Source organism: Homo sapiens, chromosome 18 (assembly GCF_000001405.40).
Source record: "Homo sapiens chromosome 18, GRCh38.p14 Primary Assembly".
Classification (NCBI taxonomy): domain Eukaryota; kingdom Metazoa; phylum Chordata; class Mammalia; order Primates; family Hominidae; genus Homo; species Homo sapiens.
The window spans coordinates 801,595-819,148 of NC_000018.10; the positions used below are offsets into that span (position 1 = coordinate 801,595).

Genomic DNA, 17,554 nt, shown 5'->3' on the forward strand with positions numbered 1-17,554 from the left:
ATGATATAATTAGTAGAAATAAAGGCAATATTGTACAGTAGCAATTTGATCCAGCTTTTGAGGCAGAAGACAGATTTGAGTACAAACTACATATATATGTATAGAGAGTGTGTATGTGTATATACAGAGAGAGAGAGAATATATAGACTTCACAAACCCAAACCTATAAAAGGGCAACACTTGAAACAGTTTAGTGTAATAACTCATCTTTTGCATGTTTCTTTATTCTTTTGATGAATTAAGTTTAGGAAAAAAAGAAACTTGATTGGGAAAACATGCTCTGTTAATCTGGCGGAACAAACACCTTATTTTATAAAAAGATGAGGAATGTTTTGGACTTACTATATCATTTTCCATTACAAACCCCAACTTACAAAAAGACAGCATTTGCTACAGTTGTTAGTGTAATAACACATCTTTTTCAGTTAATGAATATATTTAATATCTGACCTTAATTAACAGCTGATATCTATTATAAAACATGCAGCACAAAGCTACTTCCATTAAAAAGAAAAGTCTAGGGTGGGTGTAGTGGCTCAAGCCTGTAGTCTTAGCTGCTCAGGAGGATTACTTGTGCCGAGGAGTTCGAGGCTGTAATGAGCTATGATCATGCCACTGCACTCCAGCCTGGGCAAACACAGCAAGACCATCTCTCTTAAAAAAGAAAGAAAATAAAATAATTAGAAAGTATTGCCAGGCGTGGTGGCTCATGCCTGTAATCCCAGCACTCTGGGAGGCCAAGGCAGGTGGATCACCTGAGGTCGGGAGTTCCAGACCAGCCTGACTAAAAATACAAAAAATTAGCCAGGCAAGGTGGTGCACGCTTGTAATCCCAGCTACTCAGGAGGCTGAGGCAGAAGAATCGCTTGAACCTGGGAGGCAGAGGTTGCAGTGAGCGGAGACCACACTATTGCACCCCAGCCTGGGCAACAAGAGTGAAACTCCATCTCAAAAAAAAAAAAAAAAAGTATTAATTGAACATTCTCTGCCAGCAATTCAAATGTACTATTTAATGAAGAAGAAAAAAGACAAGAAATCTCCCTTTCCATCATTGCTCCTCATTCCTAAGAAAGTTATGGCATATGGAACAGGCTTGTAGTCAGCCCTAGGTTTAAATCCCAGTTCTGCCGGTTGTGTGACCTTAGCAAATTATATATACTTTCTGATTCTCAGTTTCTTTATCTGTAATAAATACCTACCTCAAGGGGCCCAGCACAGTGGCTCACACCTATAATCCTAGCACTTCGGGAGGTTGAGGCAAGTGGATCGCTTGAGCCCAGGAGTTCGAGACAGCCTGGGCAACAAGGTGAAACCCTGTCTCTATTCTAAAAAAAAATAAAAATAAAAAACAGGCTGGGCATGGTGGCTCACACCTGTTTTCCCAGCACTTTGGGAGGCCGAGGCGGGAGGATCCCTTGAGCCTAGGGGGTTTAAGATCAGTCTGAGCAACATGGTGAGAAATTTTGAATTTTAAAAATTAAAAAAAAAATTAGCTGGGCATGGTGGCTCACAACTGTGGTCCCAGCAGCTACTCAGAGACCAAGGTGGGAGGATCACTTGAACCTGGGAGGCAGAAGTTGCAGTGAGCCAAGGTTTTGCCACTTCATTCCAGCCTGGGTGTCAGAGTGAGACTCCGTCTCAAAAACAAAAAATAAATACCCATCTCATTCCTAATTTTTCTGTGTATTTTGGAAACACATTTCAAAGATTCAAGTCAAATGTGATAATGCATATAAAAGTATGGCATAGCACCTATCATAGGACAGGCTTTCTTCTTTCCCTACCCAATGCCAAAGTGAGGTGAATGGGTGGGAAATAAAAAAAGCACAGAGAAGGTAAAGAAGTTACAAACTCCATATTGTAACACTCCTCATTTTCCCAAACCCTTTTCTACTATTTTTGTTTATTACCCCCAATCTTTTGAAGCTTTTCTATACCTCATACTGTCCTATAGGGTTAGAGTATGAGGCAGGTTTCACTGCCACTAGCAAGCAGGTGGGGAAACCTAGGGAAGTTTCTGTACTTAAATTAAGCTTAATAGCAATGCCTTATTGGGAGAATCTGAGTCTCCTAACAGGGAACTCAAAACAGTGATTTTTAAATAGTGAGGAGCTGGTAAGGTGGGAAAGGAGGGTGACTGGCAAGGCTACAGGTTCACCCACCTCATAATCAGAGCACTTGTAGGCCAAATATTTTATTTGTTCAAAGAGCTCAGCAGTTAACAAAAACCAGGCAAAAACTGATAATCAGTCAGAAAATATTTTACCACCAAAGTATTATTTTACCTATTTGTGAGGCTTTTATAAGACTCCAACGGGCTGCCTAGAAATCAGGCCAAAAGGCTTATGTTACAGAAAAGACTTCCTGGAAAAACAGATTCTAATTTTCAAAACATCAACTTACAAACTTTCAGAACACTGTAATTTTAGTTTCTTTGTTTTAGAAAATCTATTTTACAAACCTTAAAAGGCTAACCATTTTCCAATGCCATGCTTGTCTTGTTCTAAATATTAACTGTATGTGTATAAAGACAAATATCCAGAACAAGTTGTCCATACCTTTGTCAATTAAAAAAATTAAATGTAAATTTTGATGATAGTGGCTATTTTTCTCATATAATGTTGCAAAGTTTTTATTCAAATAGCCACGATTACTTGTTAACTGACATCATAACTATCCACTTCAACAGAATAATTAAGTCATTTTTCTAATTTTATTACGAAAAAATCTGGGCTAGGCACAGTGGCTCACGCCTGTAATCCCAATACTTTGGGAGGCCAAGGCAGGCAGATCACCTGAGGTCAGGAGTTCGAGACCAGCCTGGCCAACATGGTGAAACCCCCATCTCTACTAAAAATAAGAAAATTAGCTGGGTGTGGTGGCACACACCTGTAATCCCAGCTACTGAGGAGGCTGAGGCAGGGAGAATTGCTTGAACCCGGGAGGCAGAGGTTGCAGTGAGCCGAGATTGCACCACTGCACTCCAGCCTGGGCAATAGAGTGAGACTGAGTCTCAAAAAAAAAAAAAAAAAAAAAGGCCAGCTGAGGTGGCTCACACCTGTAAGCCTGGCACTTTGGGAGGCCAAGGCGGGCGGATCACCTGAGATAGGGAGTTGGAGACCAGCCTGACCAACATGGAGAAATCCCATTCTCTACTAAAAACACAAAAATTAGCCGGGTGTGGTGGCACACGCCTGTAATCCCAGCTACTTGGGAGGCTGAGGCAGGAGAATCACTTGAACCCAGGAGGCTGAGGTTGTAGTGAGCTGAGATCAAGCCACTGCACTCCAGCCTGGGCGACAGAGTGAGACTCTGACTCAAAAAAAAAAAACACAAACCAAAAACCTAGCATAGTAGTATAAATGTTTGCTTAATTAGTAGAACTGCAATTTGCTTGAGAAAGTTCCGTGTCAAGTCCATGGGTCAGTTTTTTATAATCTTTACTTATATCTAATGTGATTCCAAATTTTAGACTCAAACATTTCCTTAAAATTTTATCAATACGGTCATGCATCACTTAACATATATTCTGAGAAATGCCTCATTAGGCAATTCTGACATTATGTGAACACTCTAGAGTGTACTTACACAAACCTACGTGGTATAGCTGACTACAACCTTGGGCCATATAGTATGGCCTATTTCTCTCAGGCTACAAACCTGTACAGCACACAACTGTACAGAATACTGCAGGCAACTGTAACAGTATTTGTGTATTTAAACATAACTAAATGTAGAAGAGATACAGTAATTACACAGTATAAAAAAATAAAAAATGGTACACCTATATAGGGCAGCTCTACTATAATCTTACAGGATCACCATCATTGAAACTTCCTTAGGCAGAGCATGACTATATTGTAACAACTTCAACTGCGGCAGAGCACACATTTATATATAAAGCTGAGAAACTATTAGAAACCATGAGGCCCAACTACCTTTTGTTTCAAATTGCAAAACTAACGCCTAGGGAGTTTACTGAATCGACCAAGGCTAAACAGCTCTTCACTGTCAGAAATGAAACTAAAATCTAGATAGTGTTAGTGCTCTACCTTCCAGTCCTTTCCTTATAACACCATATTGCCTTCTCTGCTCCTTCCAAATGTCTGGCTGCTATTATTTTTAAAGTATCCTTATCTGTAAAATATTAATCACATCAGAACAAAAGTTAGAAGTCAATACATTCGCCAGGAAACAATGTGAAGTATTAACTTATACACAACCACCACCAACTTCCTCACCTCACCCCAATTTCTACTTAATGCTAAGAAACTGAAAAGTTACATTAAAAAATTAGAGAAGTGAAAATCCTCTTAAGTCAGTTGAAGAAAACCTAGAATCCACATTTTGCTGGGAATAGAGGCTGAAAACCAGACAATCTTGAAGTTTCAGGGGTCAGTACTTTTCCTCCTAGCACTTCCTGTTCCGTCCTCACCCCCAATAACCCAGCAAAAGTACACCTATGAATTATGCATTCCTTCACACACATTACTGCAAGAAAATCAGGACTTCTTTTTCTTTTTGTCCTAGGTATATATGAACAAGTCATAATTGTAATACTGATTGTCACTACTGTGATGAGATACCAAATGCATTTTTTAAAAATCTAGGATTTTTCTTCAGCATAACTTGGACTTTCTTCACTAAAATAGTACAACGTATTTATTTAAAATAAACCTTACTAGAGACTAGTTTAACTTCAACTACAATGAATTTTCAGTTCATATTAGAAATATCAAAATGACCTTTAAATTCATATTTGAAGGACTGCTTAAGCTATTTTGTAAAATCACCTTCTAGAACAAAACCTTGAGAGCAAAAATCTAAAGAATTAACTTCGAGCTATGAAAAAGTATTAAGCTAGTTTTATAACATTTTAGTAGAGGTGTACTCAAAAGATTTGTTTTGTTTGCGAAAAGTCCATAGCTGTAATTCATATAAATCTGCCCAGAACCACATCCCTACATACAATTCAGAATTTATTTAGTATTTATTGTGCTAAGGGCTGTTCTCAAAGATTGCTATAAAACAGTTCCTTGACACAGTGAATACTAGGTCAAGAATAACAGACAAGCATGGAAAGAAATAATTACAGTGCAAGGAGAGGTGTGTTTTGACATAAGTGTTTTGTGGGAGCACAAAGAGGTCATAACACCAATCTCTTGCTAAGTATATGCCATAATGATGTGTACTTCTTACTGTTCAAATGCATGGTCTAACTGTACCTCATCCTTCCTCTGGTTATACAAGTTTGAGCACTACTTTTCTCAATCCTCTCTAATCTCCATCCCAAATGCCAAACCCCAAACTACCAAATTCCAAAGACAAGATAAGTCAAAGGAATATCTCCAGATTTTCAGTAGATAGTAGTGGTAAAAGTAAGGACAAGACGCTGCTGTGGCTGGGTGTGGTGGCCTGTAATCCCAGCATTTCGGGAGGCCCAGGCAGGTGGACTGCTGGAGCCTAAGAATTTGAGACCAGCCTGGACAACACGGTGAGACCCCATCTCTCCAAAAAATTCAAAAATTAGCCAGGCATGCTCCAGTCTGGCCAACATGGTGAAACCCTGTCTCTACTAAAAGTACAAAAATTAGCCGGGCGTGGTGGTGCACGCTTGCAATCCCAGCTACTCGGGAGGCTGAGGCAGGAGAATCACTTGAACCTGGGAGGCAGAGGTTGCAGTGAGCCAAGATCGTGCCATTGCACACCAGCCTGGGCAGTAGAGTGATACTTCATCAAAAAAAAAAAAAAAAAATTAGCCAGGCATGGTGGTGCACACCTGTGGTCCGAGCTACTCAGGAGGCTAAAGTGGGAGGATCCCTTGGGCCCCAGAGGTCAAGGCTGCGGTGAGCTGTGACTGCACCACTGCACTCCAGTCTGGGCAACAGAGCAAGATCCTGTCTCAAAAACAAAGCAAAACACAAAAACACAAAAGATGCGACTGCTGCTATTTGCTTGGCATATTTATAAGCTGAGCAGCATTTTAGAAGCAGCAAAATTTGCCTATGGCATCTTCCAGTCTGGGGATTGCCATATATAGCTGATAACGTATTTGCAACTGTTGATGTCCATCTTCTCAAACGCCAGGGATAAAGAAAGAACAAAAGGAAAAGAATGCAGAGTTCCTACTAGCAAAATTCAGGCAGCCACCACGGATATGCAATGTATAGCTAATTCTAGAAGTTATCCCTCTTGAAGGCCTTCCACTTCCTAGGAGAAAGTAGAGTCCAAAGAACCTATATGCCAGCAATTCTACTCCCCTCCCCTAAACAACAATAAAAGAAGCAATTCTAAGAATCACAGCTTAAAGTGAAATGAAGTATAATGCTTCAAGGAACCTGCAGTCTCACAGCTTACTGTACATTTGAACAAGAGAAACTGAAGGGCATTGCTACCCTAGATTTGGGGGGGAAAAGGAGTTGAGGCACAGAGGCTTGTAACTCAGTCCATTAGTACCTCAACAGTACATTATTCTATACTCTAAAATTACAGGATTCTCTGTCTTTCCTGGAGTGGGCTTTCAGATCTTAAAGGTAAACCCAACGCAGACCAGGATATATTGCCATCAAGTCTGCTAGTTCCAAGACAACAGTAGTGCTGCTGCAGCCAACGATTCCTTGGCATACAGACATGTGAAAACGATATTGGCGGCAGCACTGGCTCTTCTCTTTCACCCTCTACTGTTACTATAGCTCCTTTTGCTAAATCTGCCTCTGAGTTTAGACAGGAGCTGGATGGTTAGTAATCACCCAGCAGCTGCAGCTGAGCAATACTCAGCCTAATTGTGGCACTGGAGCAGCTGAGAGGAAGAAAAGAGATAATACATACCCTACCATAGCCATACACGAACTACCAATAAGACAAGACACTTTAATAGAAACAGATTATTTCCTTTAAAGAAAAGCAGTTGTGCCTCGCTATAGGACTTATATTATAAAACTGTTTAAATGTGAACTGAAGGTGACCTAAGCCATGTAGGGTTCTAAACAATGGAAGATCTTACTAAAACTTCCTGTAAATATTCACACAACAAAGCGTGCACCACAAACATCACCTTTATAACATGACTGAAAGTTCCTGTGATATAAAAATTTGGCACAGATGAGATCTCTTCTTCAACTCTACAACAATGCAAAGCCACAATATCAACCACTAAAATAGCAAGCCATTACATAAAGCAAATAAAATAGCATGACCCAATGATTCTCTGCATTTCTGAAACTCCAACACCATATTGTCATTTGCCTTTTGAACCAAAACATATTCATCCTTCAGGTGCTGTGAATCTTCATAAACTTTAAACAAAAACTTATTTTATGCTGAGATTTCATGGCATTCTTAAGAATAGAAAAACTAAGGCTGAAATTACTGATCTAAAGAATTACTGTTCTAGAAAACCGAAAATAGATAAAAGTCAAAACTTAGGATCTTGATGCCGTAATTGAGTTTTGAGTTTTAATTGTCATGTTATGTAATTTTCAGAAAAACAGAGTATTTGATGACAGAACAGTATCCATTCGTTCAATAAACATTTTGATTATCTTCTATTGGTTATTTACAACATACAAGCCGAAGCGGATTTTAATTTTGTAAAACCTGTGTCTTCTGTGAAAATATTAAAACAATTAAGTTATTAAAGAAAACGAACTAGAACTTTATTTAGAAATTTTTTCCCAAAAATTCTCTAATTATTGTACATTTCGGAGTATTTGACTTTTTTTTTTGGAGACAGTCTCACTCTGTTGCCCAGGCTGCAATGCACTGGCACTATCTTAGCTCACCGCAATCTCTGTCTCCCGGGTTCAAGCGATTCTCGTGCCTCAGCCTCCCAGGTAGCTGGGATTACAGGGGCGCGCCACCACACCCAGATAATTTTTGTACTTTTTAGTAGAGATGGGGTTTCACCACGTTGGCCAGGCTGGTCTCAAACTGCTGGCCTCAAGTGATCCCCTTCCCTCTGCCTCCTAAAGTGCTGGGATTACAGGTGTGAGCCACCGTGCCCAGCCTGACGTGTTCAAAGTAGTTATACATACAGCTGGTATATGACAATTATGATTTAATAAATCTAATCCTATTTGCAAAGGATAGCCTAGGTAGTGTTCGAAAGTCAGCCACCAAGTTATGTTCTTAAACCAAGCACCTTATATAGACATTACACACTGGATTCCTTAAAAAAACAACAACAAATTCATGTAAAATAAAACATAGAAACAGATTCTGCACACAAACGTAGGGCTTAATGAATTACACTAAGACCAATACCCTTGGTAACTCCTACCAGGTTAAAAGAACTTTGTCACCACTTCAGAAGCCAGGTCCCTATCACAATCTCCTCCCTCTTCCCATATATTTCCCTTCATAGAACCACAGGTATTCTATGCTTCTATTTTTACGTTCACAGAATTTCCTTGCAGGTTTTTTTTTTTTTTTAATTACCCAAGTTTGGGTGACCCCAGCGCTTAGCATCACTTAAAAAATTGTTTTGGCATTAGTCTTCTTTCTTACTATAATGCTAATAGAATAAACGATGTCTACACTGATTTTGTAAAGAAAAACTAGCCATAGTAGTAAATCATTTACTGTCTAACATGATGCAAATTTCAACTTTGAATAAGTAAGTCTTACACCATCGGTTGGTAATATTTCACTTATACAGGTTTACTTCTAGTCTTTTAGCACATTTATTCTTTTATCAATACATACCATGAAGAAATTTTACTTGCATAGACATTAATTTTTCAGCTTGTGAATTTCCTGAACTAAAACACACACACAAAAACAGCCCATGTATTAATATTATACTTCGACCACAAGACAAATTCCACCTAACCCAGGAAGACAGGTCAAAGCTGTAATTTCACTTTCAGATGAACAGAAAGGAATCAATTTTGTGGTTTATGAAGTCAGCAAAACCTAACTACGAAATTAAAGCCATTATAACATTACAGTGGTTACAACAGAGTATATATTTTAAGAGCCCTTTTATCTTTTATCCTGGAAACATGGATATAAACTGTTTTGTTTTCAGATCAAAGGCAATTGTCTTTTTCAAATGTAGGACCCTCTGAATTGTCAACCAGCATTTAAAATCTCCACCGACTTTTAGCTAATGTCCAAAAATAAAAATACAATTTAACTTCCTTTCCTTACATGTCAATTGTGGCAGGGGTCTCACACTTATAAGCAAACAAACAAAAACCAAAAAACCATATATATTATTTGCTAAAGTAAAACTTTCTTACTGTACAATATATGAACATCGTAAGTGATGCATACAAGATCCTTGGCTAATACAAGATACTCCTTTATTACCTGACCATTCAAAATGCTTCCTGTCCACCGTGTGCCAAGCACTGTGATAGTTAAGATATTAGATTTACCATGCACTTTTCCTTAAATGCACAGTCACGTGTATACATTTAGTAATACTTTCCTTAGTGCGTAATTTAACTTTAGAAGTGTAACAGGATGGTTTAAATATTTAAAATTATCAAGGTATCTTTGGCACTGTAATCTTACAGTTATAATACATGAAGATACTATAATCATATCATGTGAAATCGACTGTGAAAACACACACCCGTGGAACGTATATACATAATAAATGGACATAAAATTGTGCTTCCACCAAAGACTTTCATTATTTCCTTTAGTAATTTATAATTATACAGTATGTTATTCCACGCCTGTATCAATTAATTATGCAGAAAATGATTCAACCAAATCCGAACTGTTAAGTCCTACTCATTACAAAACAAAAACTAAAGTCCCTACACCAGACTTGATTTTCAAAGAGCTTCTTAAAACAGCTCTGCCCCATGCCCAATAAAGTGAAAGCTGGAAGCAATTATCAAGAAGAAAAACACACTTTAAGACAATTTTCTTTAACACATGTGGACAGGGAACCGAACGCAACGGGAGGCGGAGTGGCATGATTCCGTAAAAGTGGACGCTGAATGGTAAATTTCCCAACCCCCAACCCAAAACAAAGGAAAACTTTAAACATGTTGCGGTTTTCAATCAAACCAAGTAAAGCCAGAAAGGCTCATCCACTCGCCCCACACACCCGCTCCTCTCCCCGCACAGCTGCTACCGGCGTCGGCCGATACACAGACCCCCAGCCTTTAGGACCCAAAGGGGCCGCTTCCCTCGCCCCTACTTCGGCCGTAGGGGCAAAAATAAACCTCTCCTCCCCGTCGCCGGGCGGTCCACACGACCCCAAAGACAAGGGGTGGGGAGTGTCCCCACGCCCCTGGAACCTCAGGTCGGACTTGGGCGGGACCCGGCAGGTCTGGACAGGGCAGAGACCGAGTCAGGGGCGAGCAGGTAGCGCGGGGAACGAGACAAGCCCGCCGGGCGATCCGGGGGAGGGGAGAAGTTTCTTCCCAACTTCCCGACTCGGGCCCGCGGGGGCGGGGAACCGCGGCGGCGGCGGCGGCGGCGGCTCCGGGCGCTGGGGCCTAGCCCTGTCCGGGCAGAGGTGGAACCCTCCGCCCGCGGGGCCCCACCGGGTCCTTACCTGTCCTCCGGCCGCGCTCTCATGAGTCGCTGCTACCGCAGCTCGAGGTGGCGGAGGGCGGAGGCGAGGCCCGCGGGCCCTCTCCCTCCTCCACCTCCTCGTCCCGGGGCGCCCGGCGGCAGCAACGACGGCAGAGCCGGCCCGGGACGCGTTACTTCAGGAGGAGGGAGTTCCCGGGCTCCCCACGCCTCGGCCTCACTCTCCACCTCCTCCGCCCCCCCCCCCCGGCCCCGCCCCCTGACTTCTAGCGGGGGCGGGGGCTGCGGGTACCTGCGCGCGCCGCCGTCCGCTCACCGGAACTCGGGCCACGCCGGCCCGGCTCCGGGGCCCCCAGCCTTCCGGCGCCTACGCCCCCGTCAGGTCCCCTCCGCGGGCTCCGGGCCGCTTTGCTGTGGTCAGGATAGGCGACCGGTCCGTGTCACTTCTCCCGACCCAACATGGCGGCGGGGTCCGGGGCGGATTCCCGGGGGCGGTGCAGGCCGAGGGGGCGTGAGGAGGAGGTGCTTCCCTGCCCGGAGAGCAGGCCCGCGGCGTCCCTTCCCACCCGCGAACCCACCGACGCTCGGCTGCCGCGGAGATTGAATGGAGCGCTCCGATTCTGCCCCTCTGCCTTTCTCTGTTCCTTGGCCCAGCTCTCAGTAGTGGCCAGGGCTTTGGGGCTTGCTTTTGTGGGGGAGGACGGGGTTGAGTTTTTTTGGTTGGCTGTTTGCTTCTCAGCGCTACGCTTCCGCACCCTTTGTCGTTGGTAGTAAAATCTCAAGCCCAACCGCGTGAGCCGGGGGCGTTACTCACACCCTCATCACCATCCTGATCGCCGTCCAAAAAACGTTCACGTCTTGCCTCCTTCCGAGGCAGGGATCCTGTCCCTGCCCCCAGGAGCTTCCTGTTGACTGTAGGTCGAACCAGCCTTGCCGGGAGGGGAACCGAAGCTGAGTTCTGTTTGGCGACTATCCCAGTCATGGTGGCTTTGGCTTATGTTGGGACAGCGTTTTTCTATATGATGCTGGCGGCAGCCCAGTGAGGGAAGTGCAACAAGTATGGTTCTCCTGCTTGTCAACTGTGGAAACAGCGACCCTGAAAGTGGAGGAGCCACAGCTGGAATCGTGTCCGTCTGAATACACGCACCTTTCCTATGAGCCTTGTAAAGCCAGTCGTTGAAGAAGGGGGAGGACCCGGAAGGATGGGGTGGGGGCGTAAAGATGAAGGTTAATCAAGGTCCTCATGGACTGAACCTTGAGGCCCTTCTGCTGCAGTCACTTTTGCCCTATCAGACTTTTAGAGTAACTTCCTCTCTTTATTTCCTCTTTGGTGGGGTTATCAGAATTATTTTGTGACTATTGGTTTCCTTTGCGGTTTTTAGTGAAATTCAGAATCATCTTCGACGGATAGGAAATAGTGCAATCATATGTGTCAGTATTCCGGTATTCTAGGAACTTAAGGAAATGCATATAAGGGTTTGAACATTTTTTTCTTCAGCTCACTAAATGAACGAAAGGTAGGCGTAGGCGTTAAAGAGACACATAATGTGGAACGATGCTGTATTTTCTTAGCTACTAAAACTTCATTTGTCATTGACTGTCTCAGGGCTTTAAAATTTTATGTAGGTCTATATTCAGCTTTTATTAAAATAGAAAATTCCTTGAGCTGTTGCCTTTCTTCACTAAATAGAGATAATTTCGTCTTCCTAAACACTCAGTCTCAAAAATCACCTCTAAAATAGGCCGGGCACAGTGGCTCACACGTGTAACCCCAGCATTCTGGGAGTCCAAGACAGGAGGATCACTTGAGTCTAGGAGTTGGAGACCAGCCTGGGCAACATGGGAGACCTCCTATCTATTTAGTAAAATATATTTTAAAAAATAATAATGAAATGAAATAGTAGTTTGCCCCAGTTTAAGGGGTAAGGTGGCTTTGAAGATGTTCTATATGGAGTTTTAAAGTTGGGAGAGTATGTCAGAATGTCACCTACAAGTTATGGATTACATTGACTTACTGAGTTTGCTTCTCTTCGCCCTCCCTTTTTTTTTTTATTACTACATTCCCTGATTTCTTTTTTAGTATATTCATCAATGTCAAACTTCAGTCTGTAAATAACCTGGAAAGTTTTCAATCTTACATTTAGTGGCTCACTTGTTTCCAGGAATATTTTTTAAAAAATTTTTTAATGAGGAAGAGAAAACTGGAAAGTCTTACTGAGTTTGGTGTAACAAAAATTGCTTTTAATCTGTTCATCCTGAAACGGACAAATAAGCTTGCCCCTACTTTTCCCTCCTGCACAGCATAGAGGTGTGGTATGTACATGTGTGTTAGGGAGTGATAAGGAACTTAAGTCTTGAAACCCCTGGAAATGTCTGCTGGAGGAAAAAGCTAGGGGAAAGCTTTAAACAAACAAACTTTATGAGATATGTTAGGTCCCTATAAAAGTAAAATGCTTTCATTTATGTAAGTTGATTAATGCTTAAAATTATTTGGCTGGAAGTTTGAAAAGCTGAAAGTTGAACTAGGGCCCACTCAGTACCACCTTGGAACCTGTGATTCTACCAGGAAATGTTTTTGTTTAGGGTAAACCTCTCCTACGTGCTATCAGTGATATGCTGCTGCTGCTGCTTCCGCCACTGAGGCTATGATGATTTTCTCTTCCTGGTAACAGTAAAAAAGCCTGCAGCCCTACACAAGGTGCCTCTTTTCTAACAACCATCCCCTCACCACCTTCCTCAAATCCATTCAGTGCCTGACATTGTCTGCACCACCTTAGCTTTGCCGCCTCCACCTGGCCAAGACTGCTCCTATGCCCAGTTAGGAAGAATATGAGAACCCCTCTCTAAGGATTAATTTGGAAGATCAGGAAAAAGGAAGGTATTTCTCCTTGAGTGTTGGGCCTATTGTGCCAAGCTCAGTGGAGAAATGCACCAACTCATCAAGTTCTCAATGCTCCTGATGTCTTCATTGCCTCAAGGACTGTGGTTTCTATATTACAGTTTTATTTCCCCTCAACTGGGAAAAGACTGTCTAAGCGACCTAAGTAAATGTATATTGAGGGCCAGGCGCGGTGGCTTAGCTTGTAATCCTAGCACTTTGGGATGCTGAGGTGGGTGGATCACCTGAGGTCAAGAGTTTGAGACCAGCCTGGCCAACATGTTGAAACCCTGTCTCTACTGAAAAAAAAAAAATACAAAAATTAGCCAGGCATGGTGGCATGCGTCTGTAATCCCAGCCACTCGGGAGGCTGAGGCAGGAGAATTGCTTGAACCCCGGGGGCAGAGGTTGCAGTGAGCTGAGATCATGCCACTTCACTCCAGCCTGGGTGAAAGAGCAAAACTTCGTCTCAAAATAAATAAATAAATAAATAAATAAATGGATATAGAAGGACATATCCTGCAATGAATATTTGTCAATCAAATGTGTCTTGCAATTAATAAATGTCAAACATGGCAATCTTACATGAACTTCAGCAAGTCTGTCTCCATCTTGCTCCCTTTTGTTGCTCTCTCTAGCTTTTCACTTCTTCACTACCTGGTTTACAATCTTAGAATTTAACCCTGTGCTGAGTATGCCTTCTCCGCTCCAGAACTATTTTCTGGCAGTATAGTCTTTGCTACTGGAATCTACTTTGGGGACATCTCTTGTTTTATTTCTGACTTCAATTCTTTCTAGTTCTGCAGCTTGACCCAGGCCTGTTTTATCTACCAAAGTCCCTGGTTTCAGCTCTAGCTTCTGGTACCACTCTGCTTATTCCTAGGTAGCTTTACCCACAGCTTCAGACTTTCATAGGCTCAGCTTGGTTTCTCACTCTGTTTGGTGACAGCAGTTTCTAGGCCAGATGAGCACCTTACATCCTCTTACATGCCCTCTGCCGAGTAGAATACAGCCTGTAGTGGACACCTCTTGAGGGTGCCTGTTTAACTCAAGTTCCTCTTCTCTGAGAATTAATTCTTCGATAGGTGGCATGTAGGCCTATGATCTGAGTACTGCTAATCCCAGGTTCTAGGCTGAAAGTTTGAATTTTGAGGAGTAACACAAAAGTAACTCGGTTAGTGATTATTCATGGTAACCATGGTGGAGTTGAGTCAAATGACAGAAGATGAGTGTCCAGGGGTAGAGGATTCCAGTGCTGGTGGTGCCTGCGTCATGAGCATACCATCCCCGTGGCAGAACCTGGACTTTGTCTTGCCTTCCTTGCTTCCTGCCTGAGCCTGCTCCTCTAGTCTTCCTGTTGATTCTCACCATCCTCCAATAAATTCCCTTTATGCTTCAATAGAGACCATTTTTGTTCTTTGCAAATGAAAACCATTACTTAGTCTTTGCTACTTACTTGTGCAGCCAACAGTAAACTCAGGAGCTGTGAGGGTGGCATCTCCTGCCACGTGCTTGGAGAGGCAGTGGGAGTGGGATGGGGAATCCAGTTTTCACAGAGGATGAAGCAGGCACAGCCAGAGGTGGGAGATAAGAGATTGTGGGACCCCAACACTGAGACTTGAGACTTGTGACTTTTGTCACATAGAAGACCCCAAACCTAGAACAGAGCTGGCAGGTCAGTCTCTCCTCCTGCTTGCCCATGGCAGTCATGGCTTTTAGACCATGGCATAGCATATACTCTCCCCCAGAGCATTAATACCATCCTCAGAATCCTCAACACAATTCAGGCAACAGCCACTGCAAAACTGGAGTTAGAATACATTGAAAACCATTTCATATCTCTGCCCTATCGGCTTACAATTTCCTCCTGAGTCTATATTTGCAATTTCTGTAGTCATTAGCAAGTGTTTGGCCCATACTTTTCTGAAATATTAAGCTGATATATAGTCGTGTCAGTGTCTGACATTGAGTTTAGACACCAGTAAAATTGCTACCAGATTGCTACTTCCTGGAAATCTTTACAAATGGGTTATGAAAAGTAGAACATAACATTGCTTGAAGGCAAGAAGTTAAAGTAGATTGTTTACCTGCATTGAGTGTTTAGAAAAGAAACTATAAATCAAGCTCTTATCTTTAAAGTTAACGGACATCAGATCATGAAACATAAAAGGTTAGTATTAAGGAAATTTGTATTAGATGTTTTGCAAGGTAACACTGTAACTGGGTTTTTTTTTTAATGTGTTTAGAATAAATCCATGCTTTTGAAAACCTTGTTTTAATCTCCTCTCTAAGGCTAAATCTTCTTTATGCATTTTTGGCTGTATAGATCCTTATTTTTCACATTGAGCAAATTTTAAATTCTGACTAGAGATATTATATGATGTAAAGAGTAAAACAGGCCTGCCGCGGTGGCTCACGCCTCTAATCCCAGCACTTTGGGAGGCTGAGTCAGGTGGATCACTTGAGGTCAGGAGTTTGAGACCAGCCTGGCCAACATGGTGAAAACCCCTCTCTACTAAAATACAAAAATTAGCCAGGCATGATGGTACACGCCTGTAATCCCAGCTACTCTGGAGGCTGAGGCAGGAGAATCGCTTGAACTTGGGAGTCAGAGGTTGCAGTGAGCTAAGATCACGCCACTGCACTCCAGCCTGGGCGACAGAGTGAGACTCTTGTCTCAAAAACAAACCAAAAAACAATAAAACATTTAATATTAACAAACTATGTTCATCTTCTTTGACTTGTATATGAAAAGGGCTTTTGATTACTTGAAATAGCTACTTAATGTTTCTTTTTTCTAAGGAAAGCACATATGCAACAAATGTTTAATGTAAGACCCATGCTTTGATGAAAGGTGTTTTACGTCATGTGAATGAATGAATTAATCAGTGCAGACATGAGGATTGATAAACAACAGCAGTGGCAATGGCTGTCTTTTTATTGAGCCTTCACTATATGCCAGGTGCTTTACCTACATCATTCACTGAATCTGCACAATAACCTTGGAGGTTGGTAGTATTATCACCATTTACTGATTGGATGCCTCAGGCTTGGAGGGGTTAAGCAACAGACAACTAATAAGAGGAGATGCTCCAAAACCTATTCTACTCAAAGTCACTGTGATTACAAAAAAGAAATTATTTTTAAATGTTATTTCAGTGACCATGTAAAATATTATTTCTCTAAATTCTGGAATCATAAAAATGGGTAAATTGCCTTTAAAATTAGGAAGATATAGCTAAGAAATGTGAGAGTGTACAAATTCAAGGAAATCCTTCTTTATATTACAATCTCACATCCCGAAGAAAGGGTTGGAGCAAACAGATTTATGAGAGACTAGCCTAAAAAGAATGAATTCATTTCAGAAAAAAAAGCATGTATTAAATATGACTCTCTGGAGAGATTAGTTATTTGCATCTATCAAGTCAAACTTCCATCGACACTACCTAAAATCATGGTCTTCCAACAAAGAACCAAATATGGGAAATGACCATATACATGCATAAATTACCTTACCAAATACAAAATGTCCAAGTTACGTCAATATTAAGGTTCGTATTTTAATCTGCTCTGACTGTGTAACTGTATAGTTAAACCTTCCATAGTAACTCAATGATAAAAGTCATTAACAGTTAATAATAGCCCAACACTAGGTAAGATTGTTTAATATTTTAAAAATCAGCTCATTCATTCATAAAACAGAGTGCCTCCTGATAAATTCTGTGTCTTTTGGCCTATATTAAGAGATTTTTTTTTTCTCAAGAGGGAGCCTCTCTCTGTTGCCCAGGCTGGAGTGCAGTGGCACGATCTCAGCTCATTGCAAGCTCCGCTTTCCGGGTTCATGCCATTCTCCTGCCTCAGCCTCCCAAGTAGCTGGGACTACAGGCGCCCGCCACCATGCCTGGCTAATTTTTTGTATTTTTTTTTAGTAGAGACGGGGTTTCACTGTGTTAGCCAGGATGGTCTCAACCTCCTGACCTCGTGATCCACCTGCCTAGGCCTCCCAAAGTGCTGGGATTACAGGCATGAGCCACCGTGCCTGGCCAAGAGAGATCTTATGACTTTATTAACTTAGAGATAAATACCAGGACACATTGTACTGAAATCCAAGGAGTGTGAACATTAATAGATTTTCAAATACTTTATTAAAATTTATTTTCAGAGATAAGGAAATTAATA

The 17,554-nt window shown here is 41.9% G+C and overlaps 1 protein-coding gene across 8 annotated transcripts in view, besides 6 other annotated features; it reads right to left on the reverse strand.

Moving 5' to 3' along the window:
• The window catches only part of YES1 (YES proto-oncogene 1, Src family tyrosine kinase), a 91,166-nt gene extending 80,007 nt beyond the window's left edge, over nt 1–11,159 (reverse strand). For 2 of the 8 annotated variants that reach the window (XM_047437770.1, XM_024451244.2), the window contains exon 1: nt 11,076–11,159. The gene's annotated coding sequence lies outside the window, so the exon portion shown is untranslated. Of the gene's footprint in view, nt 1–10,519; nt 10,649–10,789; nt 10,977–11,075 lie in introns of those variants that run through there. The other 6 variants (XM_047437771.1, XM_024451246.2, XM_024451247.2 and 3 more) reach the window with 3 other exon arrangements.
• Nucleotides 10,255–10,344: a silencer, noted in NCBI's record as "silent region_9243". NCBI's record gives its function as "represses an Ori minimal core promoter by ATAC-STARR-seq in GM12878 lymphoblastoid cells {active_cell/tissue: GM12878}" and the evidence as "EXISTENCE:reporter gene assay evidence [ECO:0000049][PMID:35858748]".
• Nucleotides 10,415–10,474: a silencer, noted in NCBI's record as "silent region_9244". NCBI's record gives its function as "represses an Ori minimal core promoter by ATAC-STARR-seq in GM12878 lymphoblastoid cells {active_cell/tissue: GM12878}" and the evidence as "EXISTENCE:reporter gene assay evidence [ECO:0000049][PMID:35858748]".
• Nucleotides 10,525–11,034: a silencer, noted in NCBI's record as "silent region_9245". NCBI's record gives its function as "represses an Ori minimal core promoter by ATAC-STARR-seq in GM12878 lymphoblastoid cells {active_cell/tissue: GM12878}" and the evidence as "EXISTENCE:reporter gene assay evidence [ECO:0000049][PMID:35858748]".
• Nucleotides 10,525–11,308: a biological region, named in NCBI's record as "NANOG-H3K27ac-H3K4me1 hESC enhancer GRCh37_chr18:812361-812903".
• Nucleotides 10,766–11,308: an enhancer, noted in NCBI's record as "NANOG-H3K27ac-H3K4me1 hESC enhancer chr18:812361-812903 (GRCh37/hg19 assembly coordinates)". NCBI's record gives its function as "activates a minimal SCP1, AML or CMV promoter by ChIP-STARR-seq in naive H9 embryonic stem cells {active_cell/tissue: H9 hESC(naive)}" and the evidence as "EXISTENCE:reporter gene assay evidence [ECO:0000049][PMID:30033119]".
• Nucleotides 11,309–11,850: an enhancer, noted in NCBI's record as "NANOG-H3K27ac-H3K4me1 hESC enhancer chr18:812904-813445 (GRCh37/hg19 assembly coordinates)". NCBI's record gives its function as "activates a minimal SCP1, AML or CMV promoter by ChIP-STARR-seq in naive H9 embryonic stem cells {active_cell/tissue: H9 hESC(naive)}" and the evidence as "EXISTENCE:reporter gene assay evidence [ECO:0000049][PMID:30033119]".